Here is a 16,453-nt window from a genome sequence, read left to right as displayed (position 1 = left end):
TGCAACCAGGACCATATTATTAGAAATAGATTTTTATATGGCAGTTCTTGGTGATTAATTGAATGCTGTTAGATAATCTTTTTGTGTAAATTTGTACTTCTGTGAATAAGAATATAACTAAACTAAAACTAAATTTGTACTTCTGTGAATAAGAATATAAGATGTTTTACTTTGCAATATATAATTGGCTTAAGGCATTAAAACCCTGCTTTTGTTTACTGTGGTCTGACATAAGGGAGTTAACTTCAGCTTAAGGTTATTAAATCCTTCAATGACTGATGACTCCCTTCAAGTTATGTATGACGAAGCAATTATGAATATGGTGTGAAAATGGGATGTAATCTCTTTCAACACATTATTTGGAGAAATTACGACTCTCCCCAAGTATTGTATATTCAAATATGTTAGACACTGACCATTTTCAGCAGTTTGTTAGAGAATTTTTTATTTATAGTAGAAAGTCAGAGTCAGCCTTTATGTCTCAGATTTGGTGAGTTTCTCAGTGTTAATTCCCAATTGGTTAATAAACGTCAAATGGAGCTTTAAGGCTCCTGGGCAAGTCCATTCACTTATGCAGTTTCTTAGATGCCTGTTTCATACATTGTCCTTTTATACTTCCTCCTTGGCCTCATGGTGGGCTTCCTACTTGCATGAGAAAATCAGAACAGTCTTAAGAGCCCTTCTGCAGACTCCTACCACATCTTGCCACCTTCCAGGGCATCCTGTGCTTTCCCCACTGCTTGTGTATAGACCAGCTGTTCAGGGAACTCTCTGAGGCGCCACCCGTGCCCTCTCACATAGTAATTTCCTGTCTCTCATAATGTTGATGTTTCATTCTCTGCTGGATCTTTCCCAGCAGCATACAAACATGCCGCTTTTCTCCAATCTTAAAACAGATACAAACTCCCGTATTTGGATCCCACTTACTCTGCCAGCTATTGCTGATTTCTCTGCTTCCTTTGCAGAAAAACTTCTCAACAAGAGTTTTCTGTACCCAGATCTCCAGTTCTCCTTTCCTCTTAAATCCATCCGTTGTTGCTCCAGGGAAACTGCCCTTGTGATGATCACTAAGGCCTCTGCACTGACTGTTCCTTCTGCCTGGGATATGTTTCTCCAAATATCTGTAGCTCACCGTCCCGCTTTCGAGTCTCAGTGAGAGGCCTACCTTGACCCTCAGTCTCGGCTCTACTTTGTCCTTACTCTGCTCTGTTTTCCCCTAGAGTACTTGTCTTCATCACAAACTACACCTTTATTTTTTTTTTGAGACTGAGTTTCGCTCTTGTCGCCTAGGCTGCAGTACAATGGCGTAATCTCAGTTTACTGCAACCGCCACCTCCCGGGTTCAAGTGATCCTGCTGCCTCAGCCTCCCAAGTAGCTGAGATTACAGGCACCCACCACCACACCCAGCTAATTTTTGTATTTTTAGTGGAGATGGGGTTTCACCATGTTGGCCAGGCTGGTCTTGAACTCCTGACCTCAGGTGATCCACCCGCCTTGGCCTCCCAAAGTGCTGGGATTACAGGCATGAGCCACCGTGCCCGGCTACATCTTTATTTTTATTGCTTATTGTCTTGTTTCTTCCACCAGAATGTAAAGTCCTGAATGACAGAGAATTTTGACTCTTTGGTTTACTGCTCTATCTCCAGCACATAATAGGTGTCTGATAAATATTTGTTGAATTTCTACGTAATTCCCTAGGATGCATGGCTTTAAAAATTACCTAAATGCAGGCTAGACACAGTGGCTTACACCTGTAATCCTAGCACCGTGAGAGGCCAAGACGAGCGGATTGCTTGATCCCAGGAGTTCAAGACCATCCTGGGCAACATGGCAAAACCCCGTCTCTACTAAAAATACAATAAATTAGCCAGGCATGGTGATGTGCATCTGTAGTCCCAGCTACTTGGGAGTCTGAGGTGGGAGGATTGCCTGAGCTTGGGAAGTCGAGGCTGCAGTGAGCTGAGATCGTGCTACTGCTCTCCAGCCTGGGTGATGGATGTGAGACCTTGTTTCCAAAAAAAAAAAAAAAAATTACCTAAAGAGTTTAAAATGTTATCTTTAGTCCAGACCTACTTAGCTGCCTTCCTTGTATCTCCACTCAGAAGATATAGCTCCACTCACATGTCCAGTAAGCACCTAACACTTAACATGTCTAAATGGAACTCTGATGTTTTTCCCCAAACCACATATCATTGTGGAGTTTTATTTTTAACTTCTTCAGCCAGCTGAGTTTTATGCACCAGCTTCTTTTCTTTGGTTTATACATTGTACCACCTGAAAAACCAGCGGTAATTGGAGCAATCTTAGGTTATTTAAATTAGTCTTATTTGGCATCTCTAAAGCAGTCACATTTTTGGACATTGAAAACGATTCTAAACAGTAGAGTAGCTGGGACTACAGGGGCGTGCCACCACACCCGGCTGATTTTTTTTGTTTTTTTGTGTGTGTGTTTTTAGTAGAGACAGGGTTTCACCGTGTTAGCCAGGATGGTCTAGATCTCCTGACCTCGCGATCCACCCACCTCGGCCTCCTAAAGTGCTGGGATTACAGGCGTGAGCCACCGCGCCCGGCCTTAATAGATAAATCTTTATTGTGGATTTCTTAGGATTATTTGTATTTTGTTGTTTTAATACTTGGAAATATGGTTGTAGCTTTCAAAGTAAGGAAGTAATGATAATTGTTATTGAAACTTGGATGACTTTAAAATATTTTACTTACCGTTATTTAGCAAATATAAAATGCTTCCTGGAAAGCCTTTCTGTGTGTAGTAGGTAAACTGTTGAATCAGGAAATGTGTAGTTTAAAAGTTCCTCTCTATGGAAGCATCAAATTAGTTCTTTAAAATCCAAATTTGGGCTGGGTGTGGTATGTCACTCCTATAATCCCAGTGCTTTGGGCAGCCTAGAAGAGAGGATTGCTTGAGCCCAGGAGTTTGAGACCACCCTGAGTAACATAGTGAGACCTTGTCTCTACAAAAAATTGAAAAATTAGCTGGCTGTGGTGGCACGTGTCTGTGGTCCCAGTTACTTGGAAGACTGAAGCAGGAGGATTGCTTGAGCCCAGGAGGTTGAGGCTGTAGTGAGCCATGATCGTGCACTGCACTCCAGCCTGGATCACAGAGTGAGATCCTGTCTCAAATGAATGGAATGAATGAATGAATGAATGAATGGATGAATGAGTAAAGGGATTTCCCACCCATTGCTGGTATTTAGCTTCTGGAGGTGACCAATTAGTGTTTCCTGTTTATTGCAATTGCAGGAGGCAAAGATGGTGGTGACAGGAAGGCTTCTCATAGGGAGAGGTGGGTTAACAGCTCATAGGGAGAGGTGGATTAACAGGCATCAGATTGTGCTTGGGTTTGATTATCCTTTGTAGGAGCTATACTTACTATTTCACCAAATACTTTTGAACTTGATTATTGCTTAATTAATCATTCTTGTTTGTTTTTAAATCTCTAGTTGAAATATGTTGGTTTTAAGCCCCCTTTTCCTGTGTCTGATACTTAGTGCTTCTGTAACAGTTGGTAAAATGATTTTATAAGCTTCCGTGTTTCAGCATTGATTCCATCATATGAGAGGAGGGCGGGGTTTTTTGTTTATGCCCAGGATTTTTTTTAATGATAAATTATTTCTTCTTTTATGACAGTGGCTTCATGATACTAGCTTTTCTAACAAAATTTCCTGTAATTAAAGTGGATATTTTAATATACCTAATTATTATTTGGTACATTGATTCATTGAAAATGTATTTGGTCATTGAAGCATTCTTTAAAATGAAGGCTTTTTGCACACCTTGAACCATGAAAAATTTGTCCTGCTTTAGCATGACTTTAAGTGGAAATTTTGTTTAGTATCTATCTTTAATTACTAAGATCCTTTTGGTGTGTTTTAATGCAATCATTTAAGGCCAGTGGTAAAAACCAAAAAAACTGGCATTTAACCTGTGAAGTAGTATTGTTAACCTGGCTTTGAAGGAAAACCTGTGATGTGAATTTATTTTTTAATTAAGATTAGGTTGTAATATCCCCAAGGAGTTGGTAGCTGTGCTTGATTGATTGATTGATTGATTTGAGATGGAGTTTCTCCCTTGTTGCCTGGGCTGGAGTGCAGTGGTGCCATTTTGGCTCAGTGCAACCTCCACCTCCCAGGTTCAAGCAATTCTCCTGCCTCAGTCTCCTGAGTAGCTGAGATTACAGGCATGCCCCACCCTGCCCGGCTTATTTTGTATTTTTAGTAGAGATGGGGTTTTGCCATGTTGGTGAGATTGGTTTCAAACTCCTGACCTCAGGTGATCCGCCCGCCTTGGCCTCCCAAAGTGCTGGGTTTACAGACCTGAGCCACTGCGCCTGGTCAATTTATTTTTTAAAAATAAAGTCATATAAATGCATATATTTTGTTTTTAATCTCTGCCATAAATGAATATTTTCTGTGTTTTATACCTTTATTGGTATTCTGTTAAAAGCAGCACCAGTAACTGTGGGGAACAGTTTTCCCTTAGACAGTCTACAGTGGATGGGTTGTAGAATTTCTGTGTGTCTCTGAAGAGGTTTTTGGAAAGGTGTCCCATCCCTCCCCGTCTTTTCTCTTTAGCAGGGTCCAGCCATTTCATTTCTTTAGTCTTTAAGTAGAATGATTAGATTCTACTAAGTGGTGCCCTTTTATGCCATTCTCAAGCAGAGAATTGGGGAAAAGATGAAGGAACAAGTCTGGAGGGAGGAGTGGGATTAAAAGGAAAACAAAAGGGTGAAGGTACATGTGTGGTATAGACTTGTAGGATTCCTAGGAGGATGGCTTGGCGTGAGGCTGGGCCTGCATCCTCTCCCCTTTGAATATTCCATTTTTGATGTTATTAATTCTTCAGGCATTTGGCATCTAAAATATGGATAATTTGTAACATTTGTTATATTTGGTTTTTGAAGCTTGATGATTATACTAATAGAATTTTTGAGTTCCATTCTTTTTTTTTTTTTTTTTTTTTTTTGGTAAAGACAGTGAGGCAGAGTTGGTAAATTATGGAGTCTAACTTCTGATTGGGGTCTTTGGGCTATACCAGTGTTTATTTTACCGAAGTATAGCATTGAGTAGTAGTTGTATTTCCCATCATTGAATCTGTTACCTTCACACTCAGATCCTTGATTGCTCTTTGGATTAAATTAAGGCATGCGAAAGAATCACTTGTCATTTCTAATAAAGACTGGGTTGAAAACCTGATTGAGGCTGGCATACCTGTGAAGTATGAGTCATCACTTGCCTAATTTTTATTCTGCATTATAGTACTAGAGCCGGCATTTCTTGTTAAACATTATTACATGCTTCACATTTCTAGGTATAGAGAAGTTCGTGAATTAGTATAGTTATTTTTATTGTGTAGGTAACAATTTTTACCACCTATACATTGGAAGGCTTATTACCAGTCCCTAGTGGACACTGAAATGTCAAAGAAATCAAGAAATACACTCATAAAACAAGACATGGTCCCAATCATTTTGAGAAAGTTTATGGTGGGTAAAACTGAACTGGACAGATAATTAATGTCATACAACAACAACAGTGCCCACAGGAAAGTTCCATTTAAACAATAAAACAAGCCACATAATATTTTCATAGTACCTCAGAACAGGAATTGGTTGTGTGGCTTAAGCAAATTCAAAGGCTGTGGTATTGATAAAGAGATTTATATTGAAATGTGAAGAATTTATTGTATCATGGAAAGAAATGAGATAGGATTTAGTTGAAATTATTAGTCATGAAATTATGAAGAATATAGAGCCTGACTTTGTTATAGACAGCCTATAATATAAAGAAGGGAACAAGTCCCATTTCACCTATTACTAAGCAGACTTCATCTCATGATACGACAGAGCTTCAGTACAGGTTGGGGGTGGTAAGCCTGGGTAGAGGAAGGCCAAAATCTGTCACTTAGCCAAAACAGGGTAGGTAGGGTTCAGAGTAAAGGAGATTATGATCAAAATAAGCCCTTAGTCTGATTAGGGCTTTGCATGGTTATGTTGAAATGAGAGTAGAATATACAAAAATATTTCTGGTGTGGAGTTTATTGTACTTAAGTGCTTATTTCTCAAACCCAGAACCAAGTTGACTTACTATATTTGCCCAGATCTCTCAATATGAATATTAGGATATAAAAGAATCAATTTCGCCTTCCATTCCTGTCCTACTTATTTAATGGCTACTCTTAAAATTTCAACTAAAGATTAAACTTCTTTATTTCTACTGGGATCTGTGGAAATCTGTGGTGATTGCGTTAGTACCTATTTCAGTTTAATTTCTTTGTTGATCTCTAGTATTATAGATAAATTTCATTTACTTTTTTTGATTTAGTTTAAGACTTGTGATATAGAACTTAAAGTGTTACCTAATCTCAATTTGTTGAGATGTTTAATAGCACACTTTAATCTGTGGCCAAATTTAGGTATTAATGATTTGAGGTTTCAACTCATATTTTGTATTTACAGGGGAAGTAGAACAGTATATATGGAATAATTAAGCTAAGTAAATATTTGCCTTTTGCCATGGTGTTCAGTGTTCTAAAGTCAAATATTTACGATAGAAATGAAAGCTTAGCTAAACTGAAAGCAAGCCATCTTACCTTTTAAGATGAATAGGTATGCTGTGGCTTCTAAAACCTCATTTTCAGAGCTCCTGACAAAAATATTAAGAGAAAGACTCCCCGGTTATTATACATAATTTAGTATATGAATAGTCCTATATGAGATCCTTATGATTTATTCCTTGTATATAAAATTTCTGAGTGGTTTGGTTTGGAGATGCCTGCACCAGTGAGAAAGTGGTAGGAGAATAGTAGCTTATTGTTGGCCGTTTCTCTCCTGCCCCCTGCCCCGTTTGTTTTATTTCTGAATGGTTTCAGTTTGCGTTTTCTGTAAGTTAGAAAAGACGAATGGTTTTAAAAGCCTAGGAAATTTGTTTCCCGGGACCTCGATGGTTTTACATGCTTTCTGACTCCCATTCTCCGGCTCTCCACTCAGGTGGTTGAGCCATTGGAAATTTTGACCTGTATTTAGCATTCGTAGAGGGCACTTGGTAATTTTTATTTTTGCAAGTATTCCTGCGAGATTGACCCATATTAGTGGTAAGCAGTTGTCTCAGTCCTTTGTATGTTTACCTGTCTCTTTCTCCCGGGCTATAGTGTTTTTCAATTTCCGACTCCCAGTCTGAGCTGAATGTGAACTGTGAAAGGGTGTGTAGCTTCTAAATTGGTAAGGTTTATTATACTCTGAAACGGAGTTGAGGAGGTACAATTCTTTTCCTTTAATCCTAGCTGAGTGCTTTCTTTTCTCTAAAGGACCCATTTAAACATAGATGTTACTTTTCAGTCTCTCTTTCCTTTTTACCCTGAAGCCCACAGTTCTGATTCTCATGCTTAAGAACTAAGATTTTCTCAGACTCCTCCTCTGTCTTCCTTCTTTTCCTTTCTTTCCCCCATCCATATGGCATTACGTCCTTGTTCTTGAATTGCTTCTTTCTGTTGTCAGAGTCCTTCTGGAAACATTTTCTATGGAATCCTCTCCATTCAAGCTAGAATTCCGGGCGAGAATTTGCTTTATACACCACACTACGTTTGCTTGCTTTCTCAGATTCAGAAGTGCTTTGGTTAGAAAGGAATAGTTGCCCACATTTTGGCCTCTTCTCATGGCAGATGGCTGACCTTTCCCCTCAGAGATCATTGGTACCTGGACTCAGAGGGCAGAAGGAAGTACTCCAGAGAAATGCAACTTATGCATATACTCAGATGTATTTTTTTTTCTTTTAGTGAAGTAATAACCAAAAAATCAGAATGATAATCACTGAACAGGTTTTTCTGGCTTTCTCCATTTTCCACCAGGTGTATAGGAAAAGGACATTGGTGTCACGTGACTGCCTTTCTTATGTGTACAGAATCTCTTGCACCCCTACCCGCTACCACCTTCCCCATACATCACTAAGAAAACAGCTATTCCATGATGATTATTTTGAAGGCAGTACCATAGTGTTGCATTATGGAAAAACGTGTGTAGTTTAAATTTTAGAGAATTTTATAAAACATCCCTGTGCAAGGTCATGAGTTCTTTCCCGCTTCCTCTCTTCCTGTGTATAAGCAGCCTGTGATAATTAACTTGAGTGGCAGATCACACCAGTGAAGTTCTCAGGGAGCGCTTGGAGATATTTCAATCATTCTTGAAAAATAAGTGATTGAAAACATGTGCTCCTAAAAGCTCTAGTTTTGTAGAAAACAGAACTCTGCCATCATCCTGTATTATAAATACGGAGGTAATTTATTGATTTTACAGAAATTGAAGCTTTGTTTTTATTATGAAGAAAAATGTGCAGCCTTCTGCCTACCCACATGACAATTGCATAGGGTTGGGAAATCCTCTGAGGGAGGGTAGACTTAAGATTGTACCCAGGCTGTCATTACATATAGCCTGTCTGCCAGAGACTCTAGGCCCTGATTTCAGAGTGATGGTATAATATGTTGAGTGAGTCAGAGAAGATCAGTGTGGAGAGGGGAATTTATAAAGGAAGAGTGCTGACGGTGTAAGATAATGGAACCTGTGATTCTAAAACTTGGCAGATGTGACTATGATAGATAAAGGTAGTGGAAAAAAATGGTTTCTTGCTCTTTTTTCCTCGGGTCACGTTGTGTAAATTGCTGAAGAAATGGAAGAATAAAGCCTTAGATTGCTATGGGACTGTCTCACTGTCTTTCCTAAGAAGAATTGTAATCTGTTGCCTTTGTGAGAGTCAAAGATAAAGTCCCCTGGGTTCATGTTTATGCATATTCTTGTACTTGAGGCTATTAGAGTTGATTAAAAGAGAGTGGCTTATTGAGGAAATGAGAATCTTAATATTTGTACTTACCATACATTTAGCTTTAGATCAGCACTGTGGAATAGAACTTTCAGTGGCAATGGAAATGTTCTGTGTCTGTGCTGTCCAGTGTGGTAGCTGCTAGCCACATGTAGCTAGTAAGCACCTGAAATGTGGCTAGTGTGACCTAGAAAGTACATTTTAAAAATTTTATTTAATTGAAATTTATTTAAATAGCCATGTAGATAGTGACTACTATACTGGACAGCATGGCCCTAGATTAAAGTTCTTAAGTGGGTCATATGGCTGTAAGAGGAATAATATCTGAGAGCATTCTCTTATGTCTAGACATTTTGTGGTTTTGTGGACACATGATTATTTCTACATTTTTTCTTTAGAGAAAGTTGGAATGGAAAGGGGAATGTAAAGACTATTAGCATGTGAGTTGGAGAGTTATAATTTACTTTTTGTATTTTTATTTTTATTTTTTTGGAGATGGAGTCTCGCTCTGTCGCCCAGGCTAGAGTGCAGTGGTACGATCTCGGCTCACTGCAACCTCCGCCTCCCTGCAACCTCCGCCTCCCTGCAACCTCCGCCTCCCAGGTTCAATCGATTCGGTTCCTGATTCTCCTGCCTCAGCTTCCCGAGTAGGGACTACAGGCGCGTGCCACCATGCCTGGCTAATTTTTTTTTTTTTTGTATTTTTAGTAGAGATGGGGTTTCACCATGTTAGCCAGGATGGTTTTGATCTCCTGACCTCGGGATTGCCCGCCTTGGCCTCCCAAAATGCTAGGATTATAGGCGTGAGCTACTGTGTCTGGCCCCATAATTTAATTTTTAAAACAAAAGACCCAAAAGTCGCCTGTTTTTTTTAAGTATTTAAGAAAAACGTTAATGAAAACCATATTGTTTTTACTTAAGAATCTGTGCCCTTTGATTATAAAAGAGGAAAGCTTGTTAGTGAATAATGAAAAATGAAATCTAATAAATTGATTTTATTCATGACCAAATATTTCATTACTTTCAGAGGTAAATGTGGCACAGTTCCTGTTCTCGTGGATCTGAACAGCAACCAGGAGACCATGCTTCTGCAGCCTGAGAAGGGTTGGCTTGGGAAACCAGGCTTCCGGAGGGCTGCAGGCCCTTTGGAGGGATATGAGGAGTCAAGGCAGGCTTCTTGAGTAGAACAAACAACTCTTCCTGTTAAGCAATACAAACAAATAGTTTTTCTGGGACCAGATTGATGTGTTTTAGATACTGTTTTCTGCAAAATGTTTATTGCTTGCCTCTGTGCTGTGGAATTCTAAAGATGTGAATAACATGGTTTGTCATCAGCAGTGTTGAGGTTTATTGAGCATCTTGTATCTGCTAGCATTGTGTGGATTGGTAAGTTTGCATGGATTATTTTGCTTATTCCTCACAACTCCATGAGATACGTCATATTATTATCTTCATTTTGTCAGTGAAGAAACTGAAGTCTAGACAGAGAAATTGACTAGCTCATGTTTACAAAACTAGCAAGGACAAGGGTATGTTCTGTCAGTGGAGCCCTACAGAGAAGGGTGAGGGGAGATGGTACATGAAACATATGAATTAGTGAATAATAAGGTTTTTACGTTATTCTTATGTTAGAACGCTAACCTGTGAAATACTGACCGTGTGATTACAAAAGGAATTAAGGAATGGCATGGCATGGGTTGGAAGCATCAACAATTTCTTTTTTTTTTTTTTTCTTTTCTTTCTTTCTTTTTTTTTTTTTTTGAGACGGAGACTCACTCTGTCGCCCAGGCTGGAGTGCAGTGGCGTGATCTCGGCTCACTGCAACCTCTGCCTCCCGGGTTTAAGCAGTTCTGCCTCAGCCTCCCAAGTAGCTGGGATTACAGGCACGTGCCACCACGCCTGGCTAATTTTGTATTTTTAATAGAGACAGGGTTTTACCATGTTGGCCAGGCTGGTCTCGAACTCCTGATCTCAGGGGATCCACCTGCCTTGGCCTCCCATAGTGCTGGGATTACAGATGGGAGCCACCATGCCCAGCCAAATTACTTTTCTGACACTTGAAGTGGATGTGAATGGTGTGCATTTATCAAAAACCCCTCTTGGGCTAGTGGCAAGGACGCATGAGCAAAGGTGAAAGGGTGAGCTCAAGCACAGGGGATCTGTAGAGAAGGCTTGTATTGGAGAGTCAAGGGGGAGGCTGTTTAGGGAGGACTGGAGGAGTGGTTTCTTGAAGGAGGAAATTGGGCCTGACATGATTTTTCTTTGTAAGTTTTTGAATGAAGATATTAAAAACTGAGACAAATGTAGGTGGCATTTGCAGAGAGCAGGAACTGAGGTCTAGGACAAATGAGGGCGCTTTGAATGGAGAAAAAGATTCACAGAACTGCCTCAGACGTTTTCCTCCAGTTCAAGTTAGTGACCAGCAATAACTGCCCTATTTGGTACTCATCCCTGTGGGTGGTTGGAACTCCCTGGGGACCACAGAGGGATTCTGCCTTTGTCCCTAGTTTGGAGCCTGGGTTGTGATGAGGGCTCATTGAGGGCAGAGATACTTTTGCCTTGGGACCCTAAGGTGGTTTTAGGCATTAAGAGTCTCTTTTTCCTTGAGTTTCTGGTATTCCTTCTTGGTAGTTTAGTTTATGAACATTTTGATTTAATGTCACACTTGGGAGGTGACACCTCTCTCATTGCTGTCAGGTTCTTCTTTTTTTTTTAGTGTAAAAAAATATGTGACTTACTTTAGTCCTTCAGCTTGCCATTTAAGAATGTTTTGTGACAGAATCATTCTTTACATGGTTCTTCATGTGAGCTGAGTCTCTAAGGTGAAAAGAAAGGTCAGTTGGGCTTTTTTGGATTACTTTTCTGAAACCCCATCAGTAGATAAGGCACATATTGATGTGACAGATGTCAGATTCCCACTGAGAACTCCTAAGATAGTTAAGTGCAGTTAAATTGTAAGATTTGTGTTATTCTAATCTGTGACTCACATTCTATTCTAAGGAAGAGACTTGGCATTGATCATTTATAAGTTTTGTAATGTGGAGATGAATTACACTGGGAAATTTACTGTGGGTATTTAATTTTGTTGATTACTAACTTGTTGAACAGTTTTCTTACATATAGACTTCATAGACCCTTTATATGGTAATATATAGTGTAAACCTTAAGAGTCCAAGTTGAGGATCTCAAATCCAAAAATACGATATCTGAAATGCTTCAAAATTCAAAACTTTTTGGGTGCTAAGATGATGCTCAAAAGAAATGCTCATTGGACCATTTCAGATTTTCTGATTTGAGATGCTCAACCAGTAAGTATAATACAAGTATTCCAAAATCTGAAAATACCTAAAATTTGAAACTGCTCTGGTCCCAAGCATTTCAAATAAGGGATACTCAACCTGTATGTATGTATGTATGTATGTATGTATGTATGTATGTATGTATGTATATATGTATGTATTTTGAGTCGGAGTTTCGCTCTTGTCGCCCAGGCTGGAGTGCAGTGGTGTGATCTCAGTTCGCTGCAACCTCTGCCTCCCAAGTTCAAGTGATTCTCCTTCCTCAGCTTCCCAAGTAGCTGGGATTACAGGTGCCCACCAACACACCTGGCTAATCCTCCCGAGTAGCTGGAACCACAGGTGCTTGCCACCACGCCTGTCTAATTTTTGTATTTTTTTTTTTTTTTTTTTTTGTAGAGATGGGGTTTTGCGACGTTGCCCAGGTTGGTCTTGAACTCCTGGGCTTAAGCAATCTGCCAACTTTGGCCTCCCAAAGTGTTTGGGATTACAGGCATGAGCCACCATTCTGGGCCTTTTCTGCACAATTCTGATACTCTCTGATATTCTAAAAATGCTTTTTATCTGTATCATATCATGTCATTTGTTTATTTAAAACTATATCGAAAGTGACAGGCCTATATATAGGGAAGAAAGCAGCACATATCATAACCAGCTGATTTAAAAAAACACTGTAATTTACCAGTTGCTGAAAATGGCACGTCTCTAGGCAGTTAGTCATATTGTTAGTCACTTTAGAATGTGCAAGGTAAAGCAGGGAGGAGAGAAAAGAGGGATCTGTGCATTCCCCCAGGGCCCCATGGATTTGATCAAATTAACTTTAATCAGAAGTGGCAGTTTTTCCACTGAAAGCTTTTGAGAAGACCTCTGTTTGCTGAAGTGAGAAAGGGGATTTCTCTGGAGAATGCTGTTTTAACTGTGTGCTCCATTTACATTTCAGCCTCCCAGGTTGCATTTGTCAGTTGCTTTTGGGATTTATGTTCTCTGGTAGTGTATATTGCCTTTTTTCCAGGTGAGCTGAAGGGTCACTAGAGACTAGAGTTCTTCAGTATATGCTTACGTTGGGCACCAAACTGAGCTTCTGATATTTTTGTGGTTGTGGAGTATGAAATGATTACTTTGCTTGTAAAATGAAGTATGAGTATGTAAAATGGAGTATGAAATGCGTATTTTTCCTTGACAACAAAATTGAGGAAGTTTGTCAAGTCAACATTGGGGCACTTGACTTTAAACAGTTGGAATACAGACCTTATTTAATCTAGCAGTTGCTCTACTGTCTTTATTTTACACTATATGAGATGGAAGCTTAGAAAGAAATAGCTGTGTGGTATTGATTAAGCCTTGCCAACACAAGACCAGTACAAGTGTTGTTGGGAGATCCGCTGGCTTGCGGAAGAAATGGAGTCTCTGCCTCCTTCAGTCCTGCTTGGTGTTATCACAGTTATTGTTTGTATGTGTGATCCTATTCAGTTATTTTCATATTTAAGAAAACTTATTTGGTAAACCTCTGAAGACGTAGCTGTTTTTTTGTTTTTTTAATCCTGAAAAAGAAGTATGTATTACTTTCCTTCTGATGATAATGTCCAGGTCCATAAATCAAAGGCTCTCTTTTAGCCTTGTGATATTTAACAGGCCTGTGTTAATAATTTATAAATGTCAAGATGAGGCCTCTCTTAGGCCATTGATCTATGGAAAAAGCTGCAACTTTGCACATATTATTTAATGAAAGCTTGCATTTTACATTTGCTATAGATTTAATTTGGGTATGTTTTGTTATAAATGGGAGCTAAATAATACCAAAGAATAAATATTACAATTTTAATAATTTGAATATTTTTAATATGAAAATATTTATTTTTGAGATAGGTCTTATTCTGTTGCCCAGGCTGGAGTGCAGTGGTGCAATTATGGCTCACTGTTGCCTCAACCTCCCAGGCTCAAGTGAGCCACCCACCTCAGCCTCTAGAGTAGCTGGGATTATAAGCCTTTGCCACCAGGTGCCCAGCTAATTTGTGTAGTTTTTGTAGAGATGGGATTTGGCCATGATCTCAAACTCCTGGGCTCGAGTGATCTACCTGCCTTGGCTCCCAAAGTGCTGCGATTACAGGCATGAGCCACTGCGCCAGCCAAAAAATATTATAGCCTTAAGCTTTTTCACTCCATTTTTTACAGAAACATGATACTTGACTTTTTCTTATTTTGGCACTTCTGTTTTGGAGCCCTTTGTTTATTTCACAAATAAATGCTTTTCTCAGTAATGACCTTCTTTCCAAGATCTTGACAGATGCTTGCTTTAGAGGGGAATCATATTTATGTTGAAAACCCATGACATAGACTTGAAGACATTCTCTTTTTTATTCCCAGGTAGGCATTGTCAGGGGGTATGAATTTTTATTAGAGAATATGTTACATGGTAAACAGGACTGGAGTGTATTGTCTGTGATATGGGGTCATTATATCATCCTTGAGAGCTTGTTGTAATAAATTAAGCTCCTGGCTGGGCACAGTGGCTCACGCCTGTAATCCCAGCACTTTGGGAGGCCGAGGCAGGTGGATCACCTGAGGTCAGGAGTTCGAGACCAGCCTGGCCAACGTGGTGAAACCCTGTCTGTACTAAAAATACAAAAATTAGCCGGGTGTGGTGGCGGGCACCTGTAATCCCAGCTACTTGATAGGCTGAGGCAGGAGAATTGCTTTAACCTGGGAGGTGGAGGTTGCAGTGAGCTGAGATCGTGCCATTGAACTGCCTGGGTGACGAGAGTGAAACTCTGTCTCAAAATAAATAAATAAATAAATGAATTAGGCTCCTCTAAATGATAAAAGTTATTTTATTCTTGAATGTATGGCTGTTTTCCTTATCAGGAGGGTAGAAATGAAAACCTTTTCTTCCCTCCATCTGATTCTAGTCATTCTGTCCTCCGATTCTAATTACTGCTGATTAAATATTTAAAGAGCTTTGTTTGTTTGTTTTGCAGATAGAATTGGTATTTTACCCTGAGCAAATAGTATTAAAGATTTTGTTTGTTTGTTTGGTAGTAAACATCTGATACAAGGATGCTGGCATATTCTTGAGTTTTTTTTTGTTGTTGCTGTTGCTGCATGGAGACACTGTAAAGTGTGAAGTTACAATAAGATTGACATATTGATTGAGTCCAGAAGCCAAGTATATCTGAGGCTGAATAACCATAAAGGTTATTGTTGACACCTGCAGTAGTAATTTTAAGTGACATTTTTGAAGGTATGCGCCATTCTTTGCTTTTTCATAGTTTCCTTTTTCCACTTGCAGTGAAGAAATGTGTTTGCACAGGAGTAGATAGAAAGTGATGGAATAATACTGCATTTTCTCTCGTTGCTGGAAACATCTTCCCTGTCATTAGCCAGAATTTGATAATTTGATCTCTTTAAATTAGATTTCCAGGCTGAGCATGGTGGCTCACACCTGTAGCCCAGGATTTTGGGAGGCCATGGTGTGAGGACTGCTTGAGCTCAGGAGTTTGAGACTAGCCTGGGAAACCTAGCAAGATCCCTTCTCTACAGAAATTAAGGAAACTTAGCCAGGTGTGGTGATACGTACCTGTAGTCCCAGCTACTCTGGAGGTAAAGGTGGGAGGATTGCTTGAGCCTAGGACATGGAGGCTGCAGTGAGCCATGATCATGCCTTGGCATCGCAGCCTGGGTGACAGAGGGAGACGCTGACTCAAAAAAACAAACAAAAAATATATTTCCGGAGTGAGATTATTCTTTTTTTCTTTTTAAAAATTATTATTTATTTTTTGTGGAGATATGGGAGCTTGCTATGTTGCCCACGCTGGTCTCAAACTCCTGGCCTGTAGTGATGATCCTCCTGCCTCAGCCTCCCAAAGTGCTAGATAGAATTTTAGGGATGAGCCACCACGCCCGGCTGAGATGTTTTTTCTAAATCTAGCAGCTTTCCCCTTTCTCTTACAGATGTAATCATATATTTCTCATGATAATGCTCACAGATTTTGGATCCAGTTTTACCTTTTCATATCACTTACTTTAAAACAGTGTGCCTTCCTGAGACATATAAATGTTGCTCTATTTGAATTATTTCGGATTCAAATTGTGGTACCAGCTAAATATCACTAGCGAACCCATTAAATTTCATTTTTTCTAGAGTTGAACTTTGTTTTAAATTCATATAATTAGTCACTACATGTTTTCTTTTTCTCTTTTCACATGGACATTAAAAATTTTAATTTAGGCCCTCAGAAATGTTAACAAAGCTAATTTTTAAATCTGACAACTCTTTTTAGAATTAATTTACAAGGCAAGAATCTTTCAAATAGTTTTTCCTTCCTTAATTCGTT

General features: G+C 39.4%; 1 protein-coding gene across 2 annotated transcripts in view, besides 1 other annotated feature; it reads left to right on the top strand.

Moving 5' to 3' along the window:
* The window catches only part of RERE (arginine-glutamic acid dipeptide repeats), a 465,237-nt gene that overhangs the window by 129,628 nt on the left and 319,156 nt on the right, over window positions 1-16,453 (top strand). The window lies entirely within an intron of this gene.
* Window positions 708-757: a silencer, noted in NCBI's record as "silent region_198". NCBI's record gives its function as "represses an Ori minimal core promoter by ATAC-STARR-seq in GM12878 lymphoblastoid cells {active_cell/tissue: GM12878}" and the evidence as "EXISTENCE:reporter gene assay evidence [ECO:0000049][PMID:35858748]".

Source organism: Homo sapiens, chromosome 1 (genome assembly GCF_000001405.40).
Source record: "Homo sapiens chromosome 1, GRCh38.p14 Primary Assembly".
In the NCBI taxonomy this organism is placed as follows: domain Eukaryota; kingdom Metazoa; phylum Chordata; class Mammalia; order Primates; family Hominidae; genus Homo; species Homo sapiens.
The sequence above is the reverse complement of the archived record's forward strand: the minus strand, read 5'-3'. Positions and strand labels throughout refer to the sequence as shown.